This window comes from Homo sapiens, chromosome 3 (assembly GCF_000001405.40).
Source record: "Homo sapiens chromosome 3, GRCh38.p14 Primary Assembly".
NCBI classification, from domain to species: domain Eukaryota; kingdom Metazoa; phylum Chordata; class Mammalia; order Primates; family Hominidae; genus Homo; species Homo sapiens.
Window position 1 is genome coordinate 180,633,983 of NC_000003.12, and position 24,223 is coordinate 180,658,205.

At 35.3% G+C, this 24,223-nt stretch overlaps 1 protein-coding gene across 1 annotated transcript in view; it reads right to left on the bottom strand.

Annotated features, from left to right (window-relative positions):
* CCDC39 (coiled-coil domain 39 molecular ruler complex subunit) overlaps positions 1-24,223 on the bottom strand; it is a 65,482-nt gene that overhangs the window by 19,975 nt on the left and 21,284 nt on the right. The window contains exons 7-13 of the mRNA NM_181426.2: positions 20,780-20,971; positions 18,181-18,284; positions 17,419-17,551; positions 14,183-14,377; positions 13,097-13,261; positions 10,138-10,275; positions 8,011-8,219 (exon numbers count right to left, since the gene is read on the bottom strand). Coding sequence (NP_852091.1) covers positions 8,011-8,219; positions 10,138-10,275; positions 13,097-13,261; positions 14,183-14,377; positions 17,419-17,551; positions 18,181-18,284; positions 20,780-20,971 — 1,136 coding nt within the window. The remainder of the gene's footprint in view (positions 1-8,010; positions 8,220-10,137; positions 10,276-13,096; positions 13,262-14,182; positions 14,378-17,418; positions 17,552-18,180; positions 18,285-20,779; positions 20,972-24,223) is intronic.

The window sequence follows — 24,223 nt, forward strand, 5'->3', positions numbered from 1 at the left end:
TATCCCTGCTGCCCTTGATTTGGGGAAAAAACAGCCTGAGGACTATGCCTGAGCTTACAGCACACTACAGTCACCATGCAGAGAAGACAACCACTCTCTTCTCCTGACTCCCTTAACTCCTTGCTCCCCAGCAAGCCACAAGCTCACACCAGCAGTACAGCCACCCCACCCCACCCCACCCCACCAGCTGAACACTACCAGTAACAGCAGCTAAATGTTTCTCAGAGGTAGAGCCGTCAGAGGCAACCAAAAGCTTCTGCCACTGGCTCTGCAGTGGTACTACCCCAGCTATCCTCAGATTAACCAAGGAGCAGAGACCCTAAGTGCCTCATCCGTATTTGCAACAAGCTGCAATCCACCCAAGGAGAGGAAGCCAGTCCATCTCCCATGGATCACATAAACACCCACTGCTCATCACCAGGTAGGGTGTCCCCAGATTGGGCCCATAGCACAGACTACCTCATCCTGGGTTTATTGCATTCAGTGATTGCTGACCTGCACCTCTCTGGGATGAAGCCATCAGGAGACAAAAGACCCTCAGCCACAACCACTACTAAGGTACCTTATTCAGCTGCCTCCAAGTTGGGAAAGAAACATAAACCCTGAGATCACCCCAGAGCTGTGGTGGGCAGCCCAGTAGCACCAAGCCGTGATCTACAGCCAGCACTCAGGTGAGAGAGCAGCCCCCACTTACAGAGCACTGAGAGAGAGCATGACTGTGAGGAAATATAGAGCAGCCACACAGCCAAGCAAGAGCCTACCTACTGACCACTACACCTAAGCACCACCTACTGGATCACACCCCAAAGCTTCAACACCAAAAATAACTTCCTAACATATACCCCTGTGAAACCAAAGATAAGAAGTCAGCTACAAATAAAGACCCCACACAAAGCCTTGGCCCTATGAAAACATCCAGAAAAGAAATCTGTTGACTGTACTCAGTCTACACCACAGTTAAAGGAATAACCATTTAATTAGTCCATTTTCAAACTGCTATAAAGATACTACCTGAGACTGGATAATTTGCAATAAAAGAGATTTAATTGACTCACAGTTCCACATGTCTGGGGAGGCCTCTGGAAACATATAATCATGAATCATGATGGAAGGCAAGGGGGAAGCAGCATCTTTACAAGGCAGCAGGAGAAAGCAAGAGACATTTTTAAACCATCAGATCTCATGAGAACTCACTCACTCACAAGAACAGCATTGGGGAAACCACCACCAACATCCATTACTTCCCACCAGGTCCCTCCCTCGACATGAGATTACAATTGTAGATGAGACTTGGGTGGGGACACAGAGCCAAACCATATTCTGCCCCTAGTGCCTCCCAAATCTCATGTCCTCACATTTCAAAACCAATCATACTTTCCCAATAATCCCCCCAAAGTCTTAGCTCACTCCAGCATTAACTCAAAAGTCCAAGTCCAAAGTCTCATCTGAGACAAAGCAAGTCCCTTCCGCCTATGAGCCTGTAAAATAAAAAACGAGTTGCTTCCAAGATACAATGGGGGTACAGGCATTGGGTAAATGTTCCTGTTCCAAATTGGAGAAGTTGGCCAAAACAGAGGGGCCACAGGCTCTATGCAAGTCCAAAACCTGGCAGGGCACTCCTTAAAGCTCCAGAATAATCTCCTTTTACTCCATGTCTCACATCCAGGGCACACTGATACATGGGGTGGGCTCCCAAGGCTTTGGGTAGCTCTGCCCCTGTGGCTTTTTAGGGTATAGCCCCTGTGGCTGCCTTCACAGGCTGATATTGAGTACCTGCGGCTTTTCAAGGTGCATGGTGCAAGCTGTCGTGGCTCAACATACACAAATCAATAAATCTGATTCATCACATAAACAGAACTAAAGACAAAAATAACATGATTATCTTAATAGATCTATAAAAGGCTTTTGATAAAAGTCAACTCCTCTTCATGTTAAAAATTCTCAGTAAATTAGGCGTTGAAGGAACATACCTCAAAATAATAAAAGCCATCTATGACAAACCCACAGCCAACATGATAGTAAATGGGGAAAAGCTGGAAGCATTCCTCTTGAAAACCAGCATAAGACAAGGATGCCCTCTCTCGTCACTCTTAGTCAACATAGTATTGGAAGTCCTGGACAGAGCAGTAGGCAAGAGAATGAAATAAAGAGCATCTAAATAGGAAGAGAGGAAGTCAAACTATCCTTGTTTGCAGATGATATGATTCTATATCTAGAAAACCCCATAGTCTCAGCCCAAAAGCTGCTTCAGCTGATAGACAACTTCAGCAAAGTTTCAGGATACAAAATCAACGTATAAAAATTACTAGCATTCCTATACACCAATAACAGCCAAGCCAATAGCCAAATCAGGAACGCAATCCCATTACACAATTAACACAAAAAGAATAAAATACCTAGGAATACAGCTAACCAGGGAGGTGAAAGATCTCTACAATGAGAATTACAAAACACTGTTCAAGGAAATCAGCAGAAAACTGATTTCTCATGGATAGGAAGAATCAATGTTAAAATGGCCATACTGCCCAAAGCAATTTACAGATTCAATGTTATTTCTGTCAAACTACCAATGACATTTTTATAGAACTAGAAAAAAACTATTTTAAAATTCATATGGAACCAAAAAAGAGTCTGAATAGCCAAGGCAGTCCTAAACAAAAATAACAAAGCTTGAGGCATCACGTTACCCAACTTCGAAGTACACTACAGGGCTACAGTAATCAAAACAACATGGTACTGGTACAAAAACAGACATACAGACCAATGCAACAGGAGAGCCCAGAAATCAGGCTGCATCCCTACCACCATCTCATCTTTAACAAAACTGAGAAAAACTATCAGTGGGGAATGGACTCGCTATTCAATACATGGTGCTGGGATAACTTGCTAGCCATATGCAGAAGATTGAAACTGGACCCCTTTCTTATACCACATATAAAAATCAACTCAAGATGGATTAAATATTTAAATGTAATACTCAAAACTATAAAAACCCAGAAGACAACCTAGGCAATATTATTCTGGACAGAGGAAAGGGCAAAGATTTCATGATGAAGATGCCAAAAGCAATCACAGCAAAAACAAAAAGTGATAAATGGGATCTAATTAAAACTGAAGAGCTTCTGCACGGCAAAGTAAACTATCAACAGAGAAAACAGACAACCTACAAAATGGGAGAAAATTTTTGCAAACTCTGCATCTGATAAAGGTCTAATATCCAACATCTATAAGGAACTTAAACAAATTTATAAGAAAAAATACAACCATATTAAAAAGTGAGCAAAGGACATGAAAACTTTTCAAAAGGAGACATGCATGTGCCAAAAAGCATATGAAAAAAAGCTCAATAGATCTTTAGAAAAATGCAAATCAAAACCACAACGAGATACCATCTCACACCAGTCAGAATGGCTGCCATTAAAGTCAAATAAAATAAAATAAAATAACAGATGCTGGTGAGGTTGCAGAGAAAAAGGAATTCTTATACAATATTGGTGGGAATGTAAATTAGTTCAGCCATTGTGGAAAGCTATGTGGTGATTCCTCAAGAAAGTAAAAACAGAAGTATCATTCAACCCAGAAATCCCATTACCGGGTATATACCCAAAGGAATATAAGTCACTCTACCATAAAGACACATGTGCACAAATGTTCATTGTAGCACTATTCACAGTAGCAAAGACATGGAATCAACCTAAACACCCATCAATGACAGATTAGATTTAAAAAATGTGCCATATATACACCATGGAATACAATGCAGCCATAAAAAAGAATAAGATCTTGTGTTTCATGGGAACGTGGATGGAGCTGGAGGCCATTATCCTTAGCAAACTAATGCAGGAACAGAAAACCAAACACTGCATGTTCTCACTTATAAGTGGGAGCTAAATGATAACTCATGGACACAAAGAGGAAAACAATGGACATTGGGACCTGTTGGTGGGTGGAGGGTGAAAGGAGGGATAAAAACAGAAAAAATAACTATTGGGTACTAGGATTAGTAGCTGGGTAATGAAATAATCTGTATAACAAACCCCCATGACACAAGTTTACCTGTATAACAAACCTGCACATGTACCCCTGAACCAAAGATAAAAAAATTTTTAAAACTGAAAGAGCTCCAGGAAGGGTCAAGCAAGAGAAACTTTAAAATGACAAAATGCCCAGACACATACAAGAAAATTATAAAACACCAAGGATAAAGAGAGTGTCCCAAAGCTTCCAGAAAGAAAACAAACAAAGCCCAGTTTCCCTACAAAATAAATTTCATTAATCTGTAATCAGACTTCTCATAAACAACACTGTAATCTAGCAGAATATGAAACAATGTTTTACAATGTTCTGTCATTCAAGTTTAAGGGAGAATAAATATATGTATTAAACATGCAAGGACTGCAAAGTTTCAGAAAACATCAGTTCGACAAAACAAATTCAAAATCATACTCCAAAAAATGAAATGAAATCCAAGAAAATAGAATGATGACAAGGGATACATGAAAAAACCATTAAATCAAGAAACAAAACACATACGTAATTTTAAATTATTGCTGACATTTGGATCCACAGCTTAATGCACATGAAGAAGTTTTTAAAAAAGTAAAGACATAATATTAAAAACAATAGCAAGAGACTATAATCAGTATTTCAACAATATGTGAAAGATGGGAAAAGGAAAAGAAGAGGTAAGAGATGCTAAAAGTCTTACTCTTTAGGAAGGGGAAAATAATAGAAACTAATTTTCAATATTCATAGAGAAATGATTAAAGTTTCTTTTAAATCTAAGAATAACCAACAAAATAATTAAAATTAGAATGTATACCTTCCAAATAAAGAAAAGGCTAAACAAAATTCAGTAAAAACAATGAAAAGCAGGAAAGACAGAAATAATGAATACATGGCAATTTCTTAATGTTTCCTGAAAAGTTAAATATATACCTACCACATGATCCAGCAATTTTACTCCTAAGTATTTATCCAAGAGAAAAGAAAGCATATGTCCATACCAAGAACACATATGTTCATAGTACCTTTGTTTATAATAGCTAAGAACTGGAAACAACTCAAATGTCCATCAGCAGGTAAATGTATAAATCAACTGGAGTAAACACATGCAATGGAATACTGCTATTTAACAAGAGAAAGCCAGGGTCAGTAAACCATCCTGCCTGCCACCTGTTTTTAGATAGCCCACAAGCTAAGAATGACTTTTAAATTTTTAAGTGATTAGAAAAATAAAAGAATTATATTTCATGAAAATTTAAAACTTCAGTATTCATAAAGTTTTAATGGAAAATAGCCATGCTCATCTTTGACAGTGTCTGTGGCTGCTTTCAGTCTACAATGACAGAGTTGAGTGAGTTGAGTTATTCAAACTATGACTGGAAGCAGCCTAAATGCCAATCAACCAACAAGTGGATAAAGAAAATGTGGTATATATACACCATGGAATACTACTCAGCCACAAAAAGGAACAAAATCATGGCATTTGCAGCAACTTGGATGGAGTTGGAGACCATTATTCTAAGTGAAGTACCTCAGGAATGGAAAACCAAATATTGTTATGTTCTCGCTTATAAGCAGGAGCTAAGCTATGAGGATGGAAGAGAATAAAAATGATATAATGGACTTTGGGGACTTGTGGGGGGTGGAGTGTGAGAGGGACCTGAGGGATAAAGGACTATACTTTGAGTACAGTGTACACTGCTTGGGTTCAGATACACCAAAATCTCAGAAATTACTGCTAAAGAACTTATCTGTGTAGCTAAAAACCACCTGTTTCTCAAAAATTATTGAAATAAAATTTTAGAAAAAAATTGAAAAATAAAACAAAGACAATATGGCCTGCAAGGAACTGTAAGTTAGTTATCTAGCTCTTAGAGAAAAAGTGTGTCAACCCCTGACAAAAAGGAATGTATATTGATATACACAACATGGATGAATTTCAAAATAATTATGCTGAATGAAAAAAGCCAGACAAAAGGCAGACCTACTATTGGATTCCATTTATGTTAAACTCTTGAAAATGCAATCCGAACTATATGGATGAAAAGGAGATCAGTTGTCCGGAGAGAGAAACATGGGGGAAGGACCGAAGGGAGGAATTACAATGGGGTACAAAGAAACTTGTGGGGGTGATGGATACATTATCTTGATGGTGGTGATGGTCTCTCCGGTACATTACGTATGTCAAAACCTATCAAATGTACACTTTAAATATGTGCAACTTATGTATCTCAAATATACCTCAATAAAGTTTAAAAAGTAAAGTCTATGACAATTGAAAGACAGGAAAGGTAAAAAAGAAAAAATGGCAATATTAATTTCTTGTGGGATGCAGCTAATATAATACTTAGAGGGTTTTTTTTACTTCAAAACTGAAAATTAATGAGCTAAGCATCTGAAGAATTTAGGAAAATAACATTTAAAAACCCTGTATAAAAGAAGGAAAAAATAGTAAAGGCAAGATCAGAAACTAATGAAATAATGAATGGACAATAGAAGATAGCAATAAGAGCAGATCCTTTCCAAATAATGTTAATACTGATTAACTTGTGGTGAGAATTATCCTACCCCAAAAGAATGCACAAATAACCAATGTCAGGAATATAAAAGGAATCATCTCTAAAAATACTACAACTATTAACTAATAAAATTATAAACAACTGTATGGCAATAAATTTGAAATTTGGATAAATATAGAAAATTTTTCCTAGAGAAAAATAGAATTTACCAAAACAGAATCAATAATAAATACAAAATCTGCATTGTCCTATAAACAGTATATAAACCAATAGTTGAAAATGTTCCCCCATAGAAAACTTCAGGCTCCCAATGGCTTTTTTTTCCAGTGGGGTCTTTGAAAAACAAAAAAGATATAATTCCACTCTTTTAGAAACATATTCAATGTATAGAAAAATAAGAAATACACACAAGTCATTTTATGAAGTCAGACATAACCTTAATAGCCTGATACCCTGACAAGGACAGTAGAGCAAGGAGAATTATGGGTCATTTATACACATGAACATAGATGCAAAAATTGTATTAAAATATTCCCTAACAAAATCTAGATGTATGCAAAAGATAATATGTAACAGACAAGTTGGGTTTATTCTAGAATGTAAGGTTGGTTTGACTTTGAAAAATTGATCAATATGATTAAACACAACAGATTGAAGAAGATACATCTTGTCAATAAGTGCTGAGAAAGCATATAATAAAAGTCAACATCCATTCTTGATTAAACAAAATAACTTCTTAGTAAAGGATAAAAATAGATAGGAGCTCAATGTGGTAAAAGGTATCTAAAAAATAGAAATAAACTACAGTAAACCTTATATTTAATGCAAAAACAATGAAAGCTTTCCCTTTGAGATCAGATAATAAGACAAGGATACCTGTAATCAACACTGCTCTTCAGTATTGAACTGGGGAAAAAAGAAAAGTTATAAAGATTGGAAAGCAAGAAATAAAACTGTTATTATTTGAAAATAATATAAATGAAATACAGTATATAGAAAATTAGAATGTACTGATTGTTAGAACAAGATTGTTAAGCAGGGTTGCTGAATACTTAATATACAGAAATTAACTGCATTTCTACATACCAGCAGCAAACCAAAAATGAAATTGACAGTAACATTAAAGAAAAAACATGTAGCCAGAAATAATCTTATAAAAGATGTGCAAAATCACTTCAATAGATGCAGCTATTGAATATCTATTTTTAAAAAGACGTGTTATTGGACTTTACCACAAACCATACATAAAAAGCAATTCCAAGTAGATTAGTGATCTTAATGTAAAAGGGACAATCTAAAGAATGAAGAATTAACCAAAAGAAGAGCCTAGATTTATGGCTATAACATGCCCTATGTCTTTCTTATATGAAAAGCCATTTCGAATGAGTAAAAACGATGCACATCCGGGATGTTAGAGGGGGCAGCTAGTTCTCCTGACATCATCCTGTTTTTTTAATTCCTCAGCAGTTTTAAAACTGAAAATTACCTTATGTTTTCCCGTTCTTGATCAACATATCTTATTTGTGACGCAAGCATTGTTTTATGAACCTTGATTTCTTCAGTTCGCTCTTCCATTGCTGTGTATAATTGCTGTTTTCTTTTTTCTAGGGAAAGAACTTCTTCTGCCTTACTGTGAAGCATTTCTCGAGTACGCTTAACTTCAAGTTTTAAAAGATTGTCCTCTATCATCAAATCCTATCAACGTAACAAAATGGTCAAATATTGAAATTATTTTTAATTGCAAAACCAAAATTTTTTTTATTGCTATATAAGTAAAACTTGAAAATATACCTTTTTCCAATTTAACCATTGACTAAGATATTAGCTAGGCCTAAAATTGATCATAGTTTTTTTTTTTCTTTTAAGAAAAGGGTTTATAGTTATTCCAAATCTTTTTCATAATTCAATTTTAAAGTCAAGCTTTGCTATTATAAAAAACAAAGGGAAGAAGTTATTCCTGAAGTTAAACTTACGCTATCCAAAAAACATAAAGCCCTATGAATGGCCATTTTTATACTCTGAATCTCACAAAATAATGTGGAAATATATTTTTATTTTAAAACAATTCAGTCGTGAATAGAGTACTGACATAAGAGTACACATATCAATCAATTTTCAGAATAGAAACCCCAGAAAAAAACACTCCAGGATATAAGATTTTATTGTTTCATAAACGTGGCTTTTCATTTGGAGAGATTAGATACTTACATCTCACGTGCACCAAAAATATATTCTAGATGAATGAAAAATCTTAAGAGATGAAATCAACGTAACTACTAGAAATAGTAAACATTTGTCTGATTTTTAGTGTAACCAAGAAGTTTCTAAGCATAAAAATTAAAAAGAAAAAAAAACTAAGAGATTTGATGTTTTAAAAAAAGTTTTGTGTCACAAACACTGAATAAAAATGTAAAGGTAAATGGGGAAAATATTTACAATATTTATGACAGAGATAATTTTTTTTTTTTTTTGAGACGGAGTCTTACTCTGTCGCCCAGGCTGGAGCGCAGTGGTGCGATCTCCGCTTACTGCAAGCCCCACCTCCTGGGTTCACGCCATTCTCCTGCCTCAGCCTCCGGAGTAGCTGGGACTATAGGCGCCCGCCACCACGCCCGGCTAATTTTTTGTATTTTTAGTAGAGATGGGGTTTCACCATGTTAGCCAGGATGGTCTCGATCTCCTGACCTCATGATCCACCCGCCTCGGCCTCCCAAAGTGCTGGGATTACAGGTGTGAGCCACCGTGCCCGGCCGACAGAGACAATATTTTTACATATGAAAATCTTTTATAATTTATATATGTAAACTTCCCAGCGGAAAAAAAATGGGCCAAGAATACAAACTAGAGCTCCAAAGAAAAAAAATATGGAACATGACATAACAGAGAAAAGTGTTTTAAACATTTTTATTTAAACATAAATGTTTGAAAATGTATCATTAAACAAAATATTTTTAAACCACCAATTTTAAAAATGCAGACTAAAACAATGAGATACCATGTTTATCAAATTGGCAACAATTTTTTAAATTAGGATATCCAGCCTCAGTGGTAGTGAATAAAATAGAATGCTTACATACTACTGATAGGAGTATTAATGGTACCCTCTAGAAGAGAATTGGGCTTAAAAATTGTTTCAAGACGCTAAAAATATTCATTTCTTTCTGAATCATAATTATATAGCTAGGAATTTATCCAAAGGAACTAACTGAATAACTGCACAATGAACAACTAATTGAACAACTGCACTGTACATGTAGTACTATTTACAATAGCCAAGCATTAGAAAGAAACAAAAATCTAAAAAATAGGGGATGGTTAAATAAACTATGGTAATTTCATGCAATGGACTTATAGAAAGCCTTCAAAAATGTTTTTGAAAGAATAGTTAATGTTTTAGGAAGCATATGATATATAGAAATTTTTTAATACAACATAAAAAGCCAAATTTCTTTACAAGACTGGAGGGAAATTATAGACTTTAACACTGTTTATATTGGGTATAGTGATTATAGTGACATTTTCTTTTTCATAATTTGCTATATTTTTTCATTTGTCTACAATTAACATGGAAACATGGTTTTCAATACTACATATGCATACAATTTTACTGCACCTGCTTAAAACCTTTGGCTTTATCAAGTTCTTTCTCTGATCTGTCGATGAAAAGGTTTAGTTCATTTATTTTGGTCATAAGGGACTGTTTTTCATCACTGTTTTTACTATGTGCCTTCTTGATAAAATAAAGATCATTCTGCAAAAAAGAAAAAAGGTATATAAATGTATGTTTTAAATATTGACAAAAATATTAAATACATGCTGTATTATATATATCTTACATTAAATTATATACTCAGATATTTAAAATAATCCTATGTTTTATTATCTCTCTTTCTGCTATGTCTGTAATATAATACACATGGATAGTCACATAGAAACATTTTCATTTTTATCATCAATTGATGTTTTGGATGTAGTATGAGTTCAGTAATTCTAGGCAATACATAACTTCCAGTTCAACCTAATGAATCACAGTCATCCCTCAGTATTGTCTGGGGATTGGTTGCAGGACAACTGCACTACCACCACCAAAAGGTATGGATGTTCAAGTCCCTTATATAAAATGGCATAGTATTTGCATATAATCTACACACATCTTCCTGTATACCTTTAATTATCTTTACATTACTTATGTAATAAAATGTAAATGTTATATAAATAGTTGTTACACTATATCATTTAGGGAATAATGACAAGAAAAAAGTCTGTACATTTTCAATACAGATGCAATCACCCATTTTTCTGAGTATTTTCAATCCTCAGTTGGATGAATCTGCAGATGTGGAGCTTGTGGATACAGAGGGCGACTGTGCTAGGAGACAGCCATTTATGAGGAGATGGGAGCATACACCAGTTCATCACATGGTTTACCACTCCCATATTGGAGTTCATTGTTTGATTCTACGCAAGTCCCAGATAGTAAGGATATCAACAATCTGAGAAACCATAGGGTGCTGGTTAAGAGTACAAGCTCTTAGAATCAGATGGCTTTAATTACCTACTAACCATCTGACCCTAGTATGATGGACTCTTCCTCAGTTTCCTCATCTCTAAATGGAGATGAGGACAGTTTCTACCTTCATGGGTTATTGTGAAGATTAAAGATGTTATTGTCAAAGCATGTGTATAACAGTGCTTGACACATAGAAGTGCCATGTAAATGTCAGCTATTATTAATTACATACATAATCACATATTGCTAAAGAGAAAAATGTTTGATTAGAACTAATTCCATCATATGCATAAATAGATCATACATTTGCAGATACCAGTTTTCCAGTTTTATACCTGTTTAGATCCCTCTTCCCACCCAGAACCCAGAATAAGGTTTGTGCTCTTATTCCCTTCTTGTTTCCTAAATCTAAACTTTCCAGTTCCAAGATCTCTTTCCCTCTCTTCCTCCCTCTATCCGTTCCTCCTCTCCTCTGTTTCTAATTGCCTGCATTTCTCTGAAGTATTGGGACCTAAGATTTCAGCAAGATAGTAAGAAGAGGAATTTTTTGCATAAAAATGTGATTTTATAAAATTAAATTTGATAAAAAGAGCTAAAACAATGTGATTTTCAACCTGAAGAAACTATTTTCTGTATGTAAAATGAGATGGAGTGGCATGTGAGAGGGCATACAGGATGACTTTACAATCTGTTGCTACTATTGAAAAGAGCAGCTCTTCATAATGACCAAAGGCTAACTAGCTTTAATATAATTTGTTAATTCACTTACATTTCTATTAATTTATGTATCTCTCTGTTAAAACCAGAGTTGGAATGGCATAAGCACTTGACAATGGTATGATGGAGGGAGCAGTCAGAGTAGTTCAAAGGGGGAAGAATTATAACCATCCCCACACAGCAAAACAGACACAATCCAGGCCAGGGGCAAGAAACAAAGTCATACCTCTAACATTCTATACCATTCTCATATTCTAAATAATCAAAACAATACCACATATTGAGTACCTACAATTGTGCTAAGATATAAATTGCTTCTAGTTCTCCCAAATGTCCTAAAATAATATTAATTTTTCCCCCATTTAATAGACGAGTAAACTAGAGCTCAGAAAATTTAAAACAGCAGTAGTGGTATAGCCTTGAAATTTAAAACTAGTTTTATCTGATCCAAAAACAAGTATTTTTTTCCACTAAACAAAGATAACCATTTTAAAATATTTCATCAGACTACAAACTACTCCAAACCAAAATTTTGTCTTCTTAAGAAGAAAAAAAAAAAGTAATAACTCTCCACCTTTTGCAGCCCTCAAGGAATTTAGGGCAATTCTTTTTATAACCACCAGAGGACACATCAATAGTCTTTCCAGTGGTAAATAACAATTAGACCCTACTAAGTTCTCACCCCATTCATGTCCACACTCACTATCTCACTTTTACTCTCTAGTCAAACTTTAACATAGGTTTTATATTACAAGAAACATAATAAAATGCCTAAAGATGAAGACGTTCTAACCTTATTAACAGAATCCAATCATTTCAAATATTATAACTAAGTAAAGATTTGAATAACAACTGCTGACTCATAAAGAGCAGTTTCTTTTTACATGGTGTTTTAAAGACAAAGGGCCATCAAGTTATTTGTTATGGCAGTTAATAAAATAGAAAACTAGAACTTATCAATGTTCTAAACAGTGTACTCTTGAAGAGTATTTAGAAGTCAAATGCAGGAGGGGTCAAATCCTAGCTCTCTGTGTACTAGCAGTATAACCTGGACAAATTACTTACTCTATAAAACAGATAATAGTATCTTCCTCACAAGACATCTGTAAGGATTATATGAAATAAAATACTAGAGGCATGTCATACAATATTTAGCATATACTAAATGCATCATCAATGGTAACATTACACACTAATAGTACAAAAATAAGAACATTGTTCATACATTTGTTATATATGTGTGTAGAGTGGCAGTCACCCTATCCAAAGTAGTCTTAAGAACATGTTGTCCTAAAACAGAATGACTAGGATATTTGAAATATAAAATGTATTTTGGCTAAGTTACATGAAGCTTCTTGATCTGTGTTTCCAAAAGGCCACATGTAGATTTTTTCTCTTCCAAAGACTTCCTAAGTTCAACAATTTTTGCTTCAAGCGCTTGTTTTTCTTCTGAATTAATTTCTCCCTTTAACCGTGACATTCTCCGTTCCACTTGTTGAATGTGAAAATCCTGTTACAGTTTAAAAAAAAAAAGGTATTACAAAGAAAAAAAAAGCATTTCTACAAGTGTAAAAACAAAGTGAATACTTTCTTATGACTTTGGACTAGGCATTATCATGTAATAAAGTCACTTTAGTCTTTCAGTAATTCAGGATAAAATCCTTTTCACTCTAAGAGGAACAAAAATAAACTATATCTCAACAATCAAGGTACATGATAGACACAGAAATAATCTTCTGAAAATATGACAAAGTTGGGGGATGTTTATCATACTACCATGATGGAATCTCAGTAAATTCACTGGATTTACATGAATTTGGATTTCTGAGGGCACATTATCTAAGGGATACAAAACAGGTAGTCACTAATTGTTAGCCATGAAAGGTTCAAATATGAACATCTAATTAATTATTCTTAATATTATACTTTAACATCTGTAATTTTTAAAAACTAAGAATATATATTAGATGAGAAAATTAAGATGTAGAGATGGAGAATATTAAGAGATTAACACAAATATATAAATAGAACAAAATAAGGAAAAACTGAAAAAAATGCTTTTACTCTATTAGCATGGGGGTGAGGGTGGGGGTGCCTAACTAAGAATCAACATACAGTTTTTCTCGGTTTCAGATATCTCGTGCCTTCTTCTGTTTTACTCTGGATGCAAATGTCTCAGGTTCCTTTAAAACACGGTTCTCCCTCACTAGAGTTCTCTCTCCTCTTGCCTGTTTATTTCAGATTGAGGGGAAAAAATAGTTTTTAAGGCTCCCTCACCCTACTACTGATCTAACATGATGTCTCACCTTCAGCATCTGTCTGTCCTCCACAAAAGGGCTTATAATTCTTTGTTTTCTTAGAACATGGCGTATCTTGACCATCACAACTGTAATAAATCAATATGGAAGATATTCATAAAAGTAACATCTACCTGGCTGTACATAATTTCTTGCTGCTTCAAGGTTTCAAAATCCAGTTTTTGTAACTGATGGTTGAGATGTTTCAGAGAGGAACGAGTTCCTTCAATTTCTGATAAAACAGCTTTTTCTTTCATTGTCTCAGTCTGTAACTCCTGAGCTTTCTTAAACAGCACACCTTTTATGAGGTTCAGTTGAACATCTACTTCCTGATAATGAGAATTATAGTGATTAATGGAATTAAATATATTGAAATGTTGTATTTATATGAACATAATAATTTAGAAACTCAAATAAATTTGAACCCTCCACTATTTTAGCCCTTTAGAAGATAAAGCTCTTCCCACAATTTTAACAAGTCCCCAGCATTTCTTATGGTTTATTCTATTCTAGTAGACTAGGGTAGCTTTTACGCCCGTGTCATACACCTTGACCTGTCGTCTTAATTTCATCCCATGCTACCCTAGCCTAGCAGTTGGTCATTCTACTGATTTCCTCAAAAAATAAAGTCCACTGGAAATATGCAGCCTGTACATGCACAGAGTTTCCTAAAGTCTTGAGGGTGCTATGGGGAAGAAATCACACCACCCAATCTCCCACCTTTCAAGCACTATACAGTGGTGAGCAGGTAAATGTTAAATGTTTAACCATCATCTCTCTAGGAGATGAGAGGCTAGGGGGAGAATCTGATTTCCACGGTATAAATACTCCCATTATGGCCAATTTCCTGCTACTAACATGATTCCACTAAAGGCAGAGTTGGGAAGAAATTCACAGAAACAGACCATTTTGTGGTGTTTCCAACATACAGATAAAACAGACATAGGTAACCTTAAGAGTACAAAATAATAAAATATTTGGAAGTAATGAGTGCTGAGTATGTATTACTTTTTTTGTAAACGCTATTTATTTAACTATGAGTTTATATAATCTCATTTTTAATCATAGCTGTATTTAGGAAAATTTCTAAAAATTTAACTATTGGCTCTTGTAAGCTGGTAGGAGCACTACCAGCACACTACAGGAACTACCTGTCACTCACTCTTTGCCTCCAGTTGGCCTCCACCACGTGCAGCTCTAGGAAATAGAAATGAGTCTCCCATTCCCACAGATACTCTCTCAGGAAGCAAACCTGTCTTGACCCGGAAGCCTCACAACCAATGTGTTCTAGGCTTTAAATTGATCTACCATGCCATGATCAGTTGAAAATTATCATTTTTAAATGCTGAAATAATTTGCCTATGTGATCTTATACCCAAATAAGTATATTTTCCTTTAGCAACCAACAAACCTGAATATGACACAAAACAAGTCTGTGACTGGCACATTGAAATCTTTGCATAAACAAGAAATATAATCTGATATTCAGTGCATTATTTTACATAAACAATTTTCTATAGGTTTAAGATCTTCTCAAAGATTGCCTGGCAGAGTTTTAAAGCCAATGCTTCGTGGTGAATAACACAGTACATCTCCAAAAAAGATAGGGTTGGGATTTTTTCAAACAAACAAAAACCAACAGCAATGAAAAAACCCCCAAGACTATGAACACAGCCCTGCTAAAAAAACAATCGGTACACCCTGCTGCTAATATTATTAATTTTTCTAATTTAGCCAGTTCTTCAAAAATGTCTGAAGTTTTTAATTCTCTGTGATGAAAAGGTCTATTTCATATAAATTTCACAGTGTTTACAGGTTTCTGATAAGTACTAATATCATCTGTTACAGGGAATTATGCTCTTAGGAAGAAAACACCAAAACTTTTAAAACATAATGTGTAATTTGAATATCATTCATGTCAAGATTGCAGCATGATTTTATGACTTAGAAATTTTACAGCACACTGAGGAAGCTGGATCCCATCCAAATACAAATGGAGCCAGATGAGATATAAGCCTTATATTGGGAGATTTTGCCACCATCTTCAACTACCCCTTTTTCAACCCCCCCAAACGAGTAAAAGCAAGAAGTAGAGTCAGGTCACACTTATAGTTCACACTTATAGTTCACTTTGAAGTTTTCAAAGACGAAGTGGTGCACCAGCCTTTTCCAGTTCCTCAAAAATTGGCTTTAATGCCATCAACATGCCAAAAAAGACTGAGGTAGAAGAAGGTGCCAGTAGAATTAGCAAAGTTATAGCATTTCAAAGCCCATTTACCAAAAAATTTTGCCAGAGTATAAGGGGTTAAAGAGATAGTAGATGATAAAGAAGTACAAATCAGGAATGTAGATGATGATGGGAATTTGATTACAAAAAAACAGTGATAATCATGTAGAAATCAGTTGTAAAACAAAGCCACTTTTTGAACTATTTGTATGCAATATACAAATAGATATATGGATGATGGCAGGGACATAGGTACAGTAGGCTTTGGGAAGGAATGGAATCCAGGGCACAGTGGGGGAGCTACTTTTTTAAAAAGTAGCCAGGCATGGTGGCTCACACCTGTAATCCCAACACTTTGGGAAGCGGAGGAGGGTAGATCACTTGAGGTCAGGAGTTTGAGGCCAGCCTGGCCAACATGGTGAAACCCCATCTCTACTAAAAATACAAAAATTAGCCAGGTGTGGTGGCACGCGCCTGTAATCCCAGCTACTCAGAAGGCTGAGGCAGGAGAATCACTTGAACCTGTGAGGTGGAGGTTGTAGTGAGCTGAGATCATGTCACTGCACTCCAGCCTAGGGGATAGAGCGAGACTTAGTCTCAAAAAAATAAAATAAAATAAAATAAAAAATAAATACAAAGACATCAAAATTAGTAGCTTAAAAAGAGAGGAGGCTGGCCGGCACAGTGGCTCACACCTGTAATCCCAGCACTTTGGGAGGCTGAGGCAAGCAGATCGAGACCAGCCTGGCCAACATGGCGAAACCCCATCTCTACTAAAAATACAAAAATTAGCCAGGCGTGGTTGCAGGCACCTGTAATCCCAACTACTCGGGAGGCTGAGGCAGGAGAATCGCTTGAACTTGGGAGGCGGAGGTTGCAGTGAGCCAAGATCTCGCCATTGCACTTTAGCCTGGGCAACAAGAGCCAGACTTCATCACAAAAAAAAAGAAAAAAGAGAGAGGAGACTGAGAATAACTTCAGAAGCAATGCATGAGAAGAGGTCCAAAACCAGATTATAAATGTGATCATACCAAAAAGCAGAGCTTCTTACAAGACCTCCTCGTCCTCTGATCCTAGGAGTCTAATTAATTCACTGTTGCTAAATTTTCTGTGATTTAAAGAAAAATTAAAACTAAACTTTACCTTCACATCTTTTTCCTCCTCCTTTAGCATATCTTCCAAATTAGTAGCTTTCTCTTCTACAGACATGGTTTTCTCAGTTATCTCCTTTAATTTTGTTTGTATTATCTCATTATGATTTTTAGTTTTTTGTAACCTGAAGAGGGTTTATCACAAAAAGATAGAAAACGTGCCTAAAAAGCATTTCATACAAACAAATAATAGTTTATCCTAATATTTATTTGTATAACTTGAAGGGGTTTTTTGCGTAAACCTTTTTATTACCACTACATATTTAATAGACCATAAAAATATGGCTTCTGAGTCTTTGTGATGAAAATATGAGTAAAATTTTTTTAAGTTTAATAACGTAGTAGCTGGCCAGGCGCGGTGGCTCACGCCTGTAATCCCAGCACTTTGGGAGGCCAAGGCGGGCAGATCACGAGGTCAGGAGATCAAGACCATCCTGGCTAACACGGTGAAACCCCGTCTCTAATAAAAATACAAAAAATTAGCTGGGCCTGCTGGCGGGCACCTGTAGTCCCAGCTACTCAGGAGACTGAGGCAGGAAAATGGTGTGAACCCAGGAGGCGGAGCTTGCAGTGAGCTGAGATCACGCCACTGCACTCCAGCCTGGGCAACAAAGCAAGACTCCCTCTCAAAAAAAAAAAAAGTAGTAGCTAAAATATTGCAATTATTTAAACAACAAATAGTCTTAAGTATTTAATAATTTTCTAGATATAGTAAAAAATAATCATAAACATATTTAGATAGTTTTTTTCTTACCTTGCTGTTTCTTCATGAATGTCCTTCTTTATCTTGGAAATATTTTTCCTCAGAGCTTCTAAATCACTGGAAGTTCTATTCACAGTGGCTTTTAAAGAATCCAGCTATTTATTAGTTAACAGACAGAAATTATATATTTACTCTGTATCTTATAACTTATTTCATTTCTGAGTTTTATTCTGCCCACTTTAAGTTCTAACCTACATCACACCCACAAAAGTAGTAGCCATTTTTTTATATTTAATATATAAACAGATTTCCATATTGATCTGCTATCAAATTTTAATTGGCTTTGTTGTATAATCCTAGCAAATTATAGAGAACACATATGTGTTGAAAGTAAATACAGAAATGTCTAATATCACTAGACCTGCTCAGAAAGAGCACATCCCCAAAGTCCAGATAAGCTAATATATATGTGCTCATAAGAATCATAAGTTTAACTGGATTTGAAAAATCTCAAAAGATTCTAATATATCAGACTTCTAATAACTACATTTTACTGTTAATCAATAGTAAACTATATTTTACTATTAATCAAAATTATTTAAACAGAAAATCTAAGATACAAATTTTCTTTTTTATTAAGGACCTTTGCAAAAACCCTAAACTCTCCACCAAATACTCTCAGAACAAATTCAGTAAGGTTTCTGGATACAATATCAATATACAAAACCAGTTACATTCTATACACTTACAACAAGCAATCCAAAAAAGAAATCAAGAAAACAATCCCATTTACAATGGCATCAAAAAGAATAAAATACTTAGGAATAAATTTAACCAAGGAAGAAAAAGATCTGTACACTAAAAACTACAAAACATTGATGAGAGAAATTGTAGAGGACATAAAGATATCCTGTGTTCATGGATTGGAAGAATTAATACTGTTAACATGGTCATACTATTCAAAGCGATCTACAGATTTGTGAAAGTTGTCAAAATCAAAATGGAGTCACTTGTGTCAAACCCTGACAAAACTGAGCTGGGGAAGGCCATGAAGAGAGAGTTCTCATACATATTTGCCCAATAACAAGAACTATCCCAAGAGACTCTGCCAGAACCACAGCCTTGCATAAAGACCACTGCAACCTTGTACAAAACCCTTCTACAAAGACATCTGCCCAGCAACTGACTGATCAACCTTGGACTGACACTACCCTAATTGATTCCTATAGCCAAGGATTATTATTTTAATACAACTTAGGTAAAGTTACTCATTTTACCTTTAAAAACTTTTGCCTTCCTTTATCTCCCTAGATATGCCTATAATCTGTCATAGCCTGTATATACTGGATTTTCAAATTCCCTGCTCATTCCTAATTAAGCTCAATATTTTTAGAGGGCCTCTCTCTGTTATTTAGGTTGACAGATTCAATACAATATCAAAATTCCAATGTCATTCTTCACTGAAACAGAAAAACAATTCTAAAATTCATATGGAACTATAAAAGATCCCAAATAGCTCAAGTAATCTTAAGCAGAAAGAACAAAGCTGGAGGCAACATACTTTTTTATTTAAAATTGTATCACAAAGCTAAACTAATCAAAACAAAATAGTGCAGTCATCCATTGGCATCCACAGGGGATTGGTTCCAGGATCCCTCGCAGATACCAAAATCTACGGATGTGTAGGTCCCTTATATAAAATGACATGTATTTGCATATAACCTATGTACAGCCTCCTGTATACTTTAAATAATCTCTTGATTATTTTTAACACCTAATACAATGTAAATGCTATGTAAATAATTTTCATATTTTTAAAATTTGTTTCCCTTTTTATTGTTGTATTATTTTTATTGGGTTTCTTTTCTGAATATTTTTTATCAATTGTTGGTTGAATCTACACATGCAGAATCCATGGATAAGGAAGGCTGACTGTACTGGCAAAAAAAAAAAAACCAGACACACAGAAAAATGGAACAGAATAGAGAACCCGGAAATAAACCCATGCATATATGATCAACTAATTTTCAGTAAATGTGTCAAGAATACACAATGGGGAAAGGATAGTCTCTTCAATCAATGATGTTAAGAAAACTGGATAGCCACACGCAAAAAAAAAAAAAAAAAAAAAGAGAGAAAGAAATTGGGCTTTTCTCTGGTACCATATACAAAAATTAATTCAAAATGAATTAAAGACTTAAATATAAGACCTGACACTGTAAAACTTCTCAAAGAAAACACAGGAGAAAAGCTCCTTGACATTGGTATCTGTAATGATTTTTTGAATTTGACACCAAAATTACAGGCAACAAAAGCAAAAATAAACAAGCAGGACTACATCAAACTAAAAACTTTCTTTAAGGAAAAGGAACCACCAACAAAATGAAAAGGTAACCTACAGAATGGAAGAAAATATTTGCAAACCATTTACCTGTGATGTGAATGGCGCCCCGTGGTGCTTAATCAGGGGTTTAATCAGAGTATCCCAAAAGTTCCACAAACAAAGAGACATTAAAAAAAAAAAAAGAAAAAGGAAAAAAAAAAAAAACTAGAAGTAGTTTCTTTATCACAGGAAAAGCTTTATGCTTATTTTATATTTTATAGTGATTTGTCGTGAACATACAAGCCAGTCTTTTTTGAGTTGACATACCTCACCCTTCAGCTGAATTCTACTAGTTTCATGGTCCTGATATGCCGTTCTACATTTTAAAAGTTTACGATCAGCCACAGAAATTCTTTTCTCAAACTCTGTGTTATTCCCAATCTCACTTTCCAAAAACTTGATCTTTTCTTTAACCAAATTTTCTTTTTCTCTCGTTTCCTGCTTTATCCTTGCTAATTCCTAGGATTAAAACAAATATGTTTACTTAAATATATGTTTAAACTGAGAAAACTAAAAGGAATTTAGTTTCTATTTTTCTATTATTACATTTAGTACTTATTTTACCAAAACTTCTTAGAAGACATTTTTAAATACTTTTATATTAATAAAAACAAAATATTAGTATGCTACATATTAATGTCTATAAATTCATATTGTTAAATGTCTCTGTTTTCTTTCATATATCTGGAATTTTGCTAAAGAGATGAGAAAAATGGTTATGCTTTTATATATGAAAGGTAAAAACCTACAAATGTAACAGTGTTGAATATTTTTCACATGGAAAGCGGGGTTTCAATGAAGTTTTCCAAATATTTTACAGACCGGTTTTTTTTTAGTGTTTTGAAAATAGCATTTTAGTTATTGGTTTCAATAGGAATGTCTTCACTCAGGCCTTTCACTGGTCGTAGAGACAATAATAAATAGAATACACAAAACACTGTAACTGAAATGTGGACAAAGTACCATGGGAACAAAGAGATGATGAATTCTTTCCAAGAGGAGTCATTAGTCGACATTATACTTTCCTGGCTTTCCAGGATAGGGAAGAAAAAAAAAAAGAAAAAGAAAAAGTAGAAGAAGAAAAAAGACGTGCCCAAGAGGCAACATTTGAGTCAGGCTTACAAACATGAATGGGGTTGCATAAATACTCTAATGTAGTTAAAGTGTAGGGTGGGAAGGCAGGGGTGCAAAAGGAATATATTAAGAAGGGTTGGGGTCCAGATGAAAGAGATAAAGCTGGAAAGGTAGGGTTTAGGGCCAAATTGTGAAAAAATTCAAATGTCATGTTAAAGATCAACTTTTAAGCAATGTGAAGCAAAAAGATTTCAAAGCTGGGAAATAAAAAGATTAGATGTTGTTTTTACAAGTGATGCTGATGGCAATAAGTTGGATGAATTAGAAAAAAAATTACCCTAATGTGTATTACTTGCATGTATTCCAAAATGAGGTCCTTCCAAACAACTAATCACAGGAGATTGGGGGAGGAGGTATGTGTTCTGAAATCAACAGGTTTTAGAAATGCTGCATGTATACATATTAGCATATTAAATGGCTACACATCTGAGATATATTTTAAAAAGGAAATTTTAAAGTTGTTTAGTTTTCAAGTTGTTTAATCCAATTTTTAAGTTGTTCTAAATATTTACTGTGTTCATTCACTCAAAAGACACGTCAAAACTTCCTAAGTTTAAATATTTCAGAATATGAATCCAGAGTTTCTTGCCTTATGATTTTTTCTACCACTTAATCAGATGCTTTAATTCTACTTCAACATCATACTTAATAGTGCTATGCATCATAAAATTTTCATATAGGTAATACTAAGTAATATTTTAAAACTTCTACACTGTAATAAAAGCATAGTAGAAAAATATTTTTCCACTTCTACACGTTGTTTCTTTTAAGAATACAATTTCAGGATTTTATGACCAGACCCCTGAAAAGAAAATGCTGAGAAGGCAGGAATGAACTGTTTTGCAGGAAGAGGAACAAAAGAGTATAATATCAGTTAGGAGATAAAATATTCCACCCTCCAATATGCTACCGTCAGAGGCATTTGAACCATAGCAACTCCATCTTGAAGAGGAGCAGCGTTAACATAAGGCTGCGACCTACGGGGCTGCATTCCCAGACAGGCAATCTAAGTCACAGGATGAGACAGGAGGTTGGCTCAAGATACAGGTCATAAAGAACTTGCTGATTAAAAAGTTTGCAGTAAAGAAACCAGCTAAAACCCCCCCTGACCAAGATGGAAAAGAGAGTGACCTCTGGTCATTTTCACTGCTTATTATATGCTAATTATGATGCATTAGTCTGCTAAAAGACACTCCCACCAGCACCATGGCAGTTTTCAAATGCCCTAGCAATGTCAGGGAGTTACCCTATATGGTCTAAAAGGGGGAGGCATGAATAATCTACCCCTTGTTTAGCATATAATCAAGAAATAACCATAAAAATGGGCAACCACCAGCCCTCAGGGCTGCTTTGCCTATGGAATAGCCATTCCTTTATTCCTTTGCTTTCTTAATAAAGCTGCTTTCACTTTTACTCTGTGGATTTGCCTCAGATTCTTTCTTGCATGAGATCCAAGAACACTCTTTCAGGGTCTGGATCAGGACCCCTTTCTGGTAACAGTATGAAAATAATAAAACCATAGAAATCAGAAATCCTATAGATCAGGGGTTTTTTCAAAATGTGTTGTTTTGTTTTATTCTCATATAGCAGTTGTCAAACACTTAGAAGCATCCTGCTGCCTAACGGAACCACCTCTTAGCACCCTCCTTAGTCTCTGACAGCACAATCAGGAGATGTCAACATGTAAGTAAGGAACCACTATGAATGTGACCAGGGAGCTACTAGTTGTGTATTCTGCCAAATCAGCTGACCGAGTTACTTTAGCCATGGGGTTGTATGAGAAAACTGATTGTGGATCCGTAATCTTGGATCTCGCACATGACTGACAGAGAGGAAGCAGTCATGACTTGAGAAAAGAATTTTTATCTGAGAATTTTACATTATCAAGCCCAGAAAGGCATTAAAATCAGACAGAAATAACATCCCACTGCACCCCTTTTATGAGCTGTGTACTCATGTCTTGATACAGCTTGCTATTGCCACAAGCAGCTATAAATTAACCTAATAATGCCTCAGCAGATACTATAACCCACACCCTGCAGCTCAACAATGTATAGCCAATCAATAGCTGATGTTATTTCAATGTAAATTCTTGATAAACAACTCAGGAACTCGCTCTTTTTTCCCTCTTTAAAAATCAACTTGTAACTGCTGCTAATTGGAGTGTATATTCAGGGCAACTTGAATCTATACTCCCAGGTTCCCAGGAATCAATCCTCAAGCTTGGCCAAAAGAAACTCTGCTTCCATTAATTTTGCTTCAGCTTCTTCCTTGTAAGTCAACAGCTTAATGTTTGAAAGCAATGAGAAGTTAAGAAATATTAATAGCAGGCCAGGTGCGGTGGCTCACGCCTGTAATCCCAGCACTTTGGGAGGCGGGTGGATTGCCTGCGGTCAGGAGTTCGAGACCAGCCTGGCCAACATGATGAAACCCTGTCTCTACTAAAAAAAAACTACAAAAATTAGCTGGGCGTGGTGGCGGGAGCCTGTAATCCCAGCTACTTGGGAGGATGAGGCAGGAGAATTGCTTGAATCCGGGAGGCAGAGATTGCAGTGAGCTGAGATCACGGCATTGCAC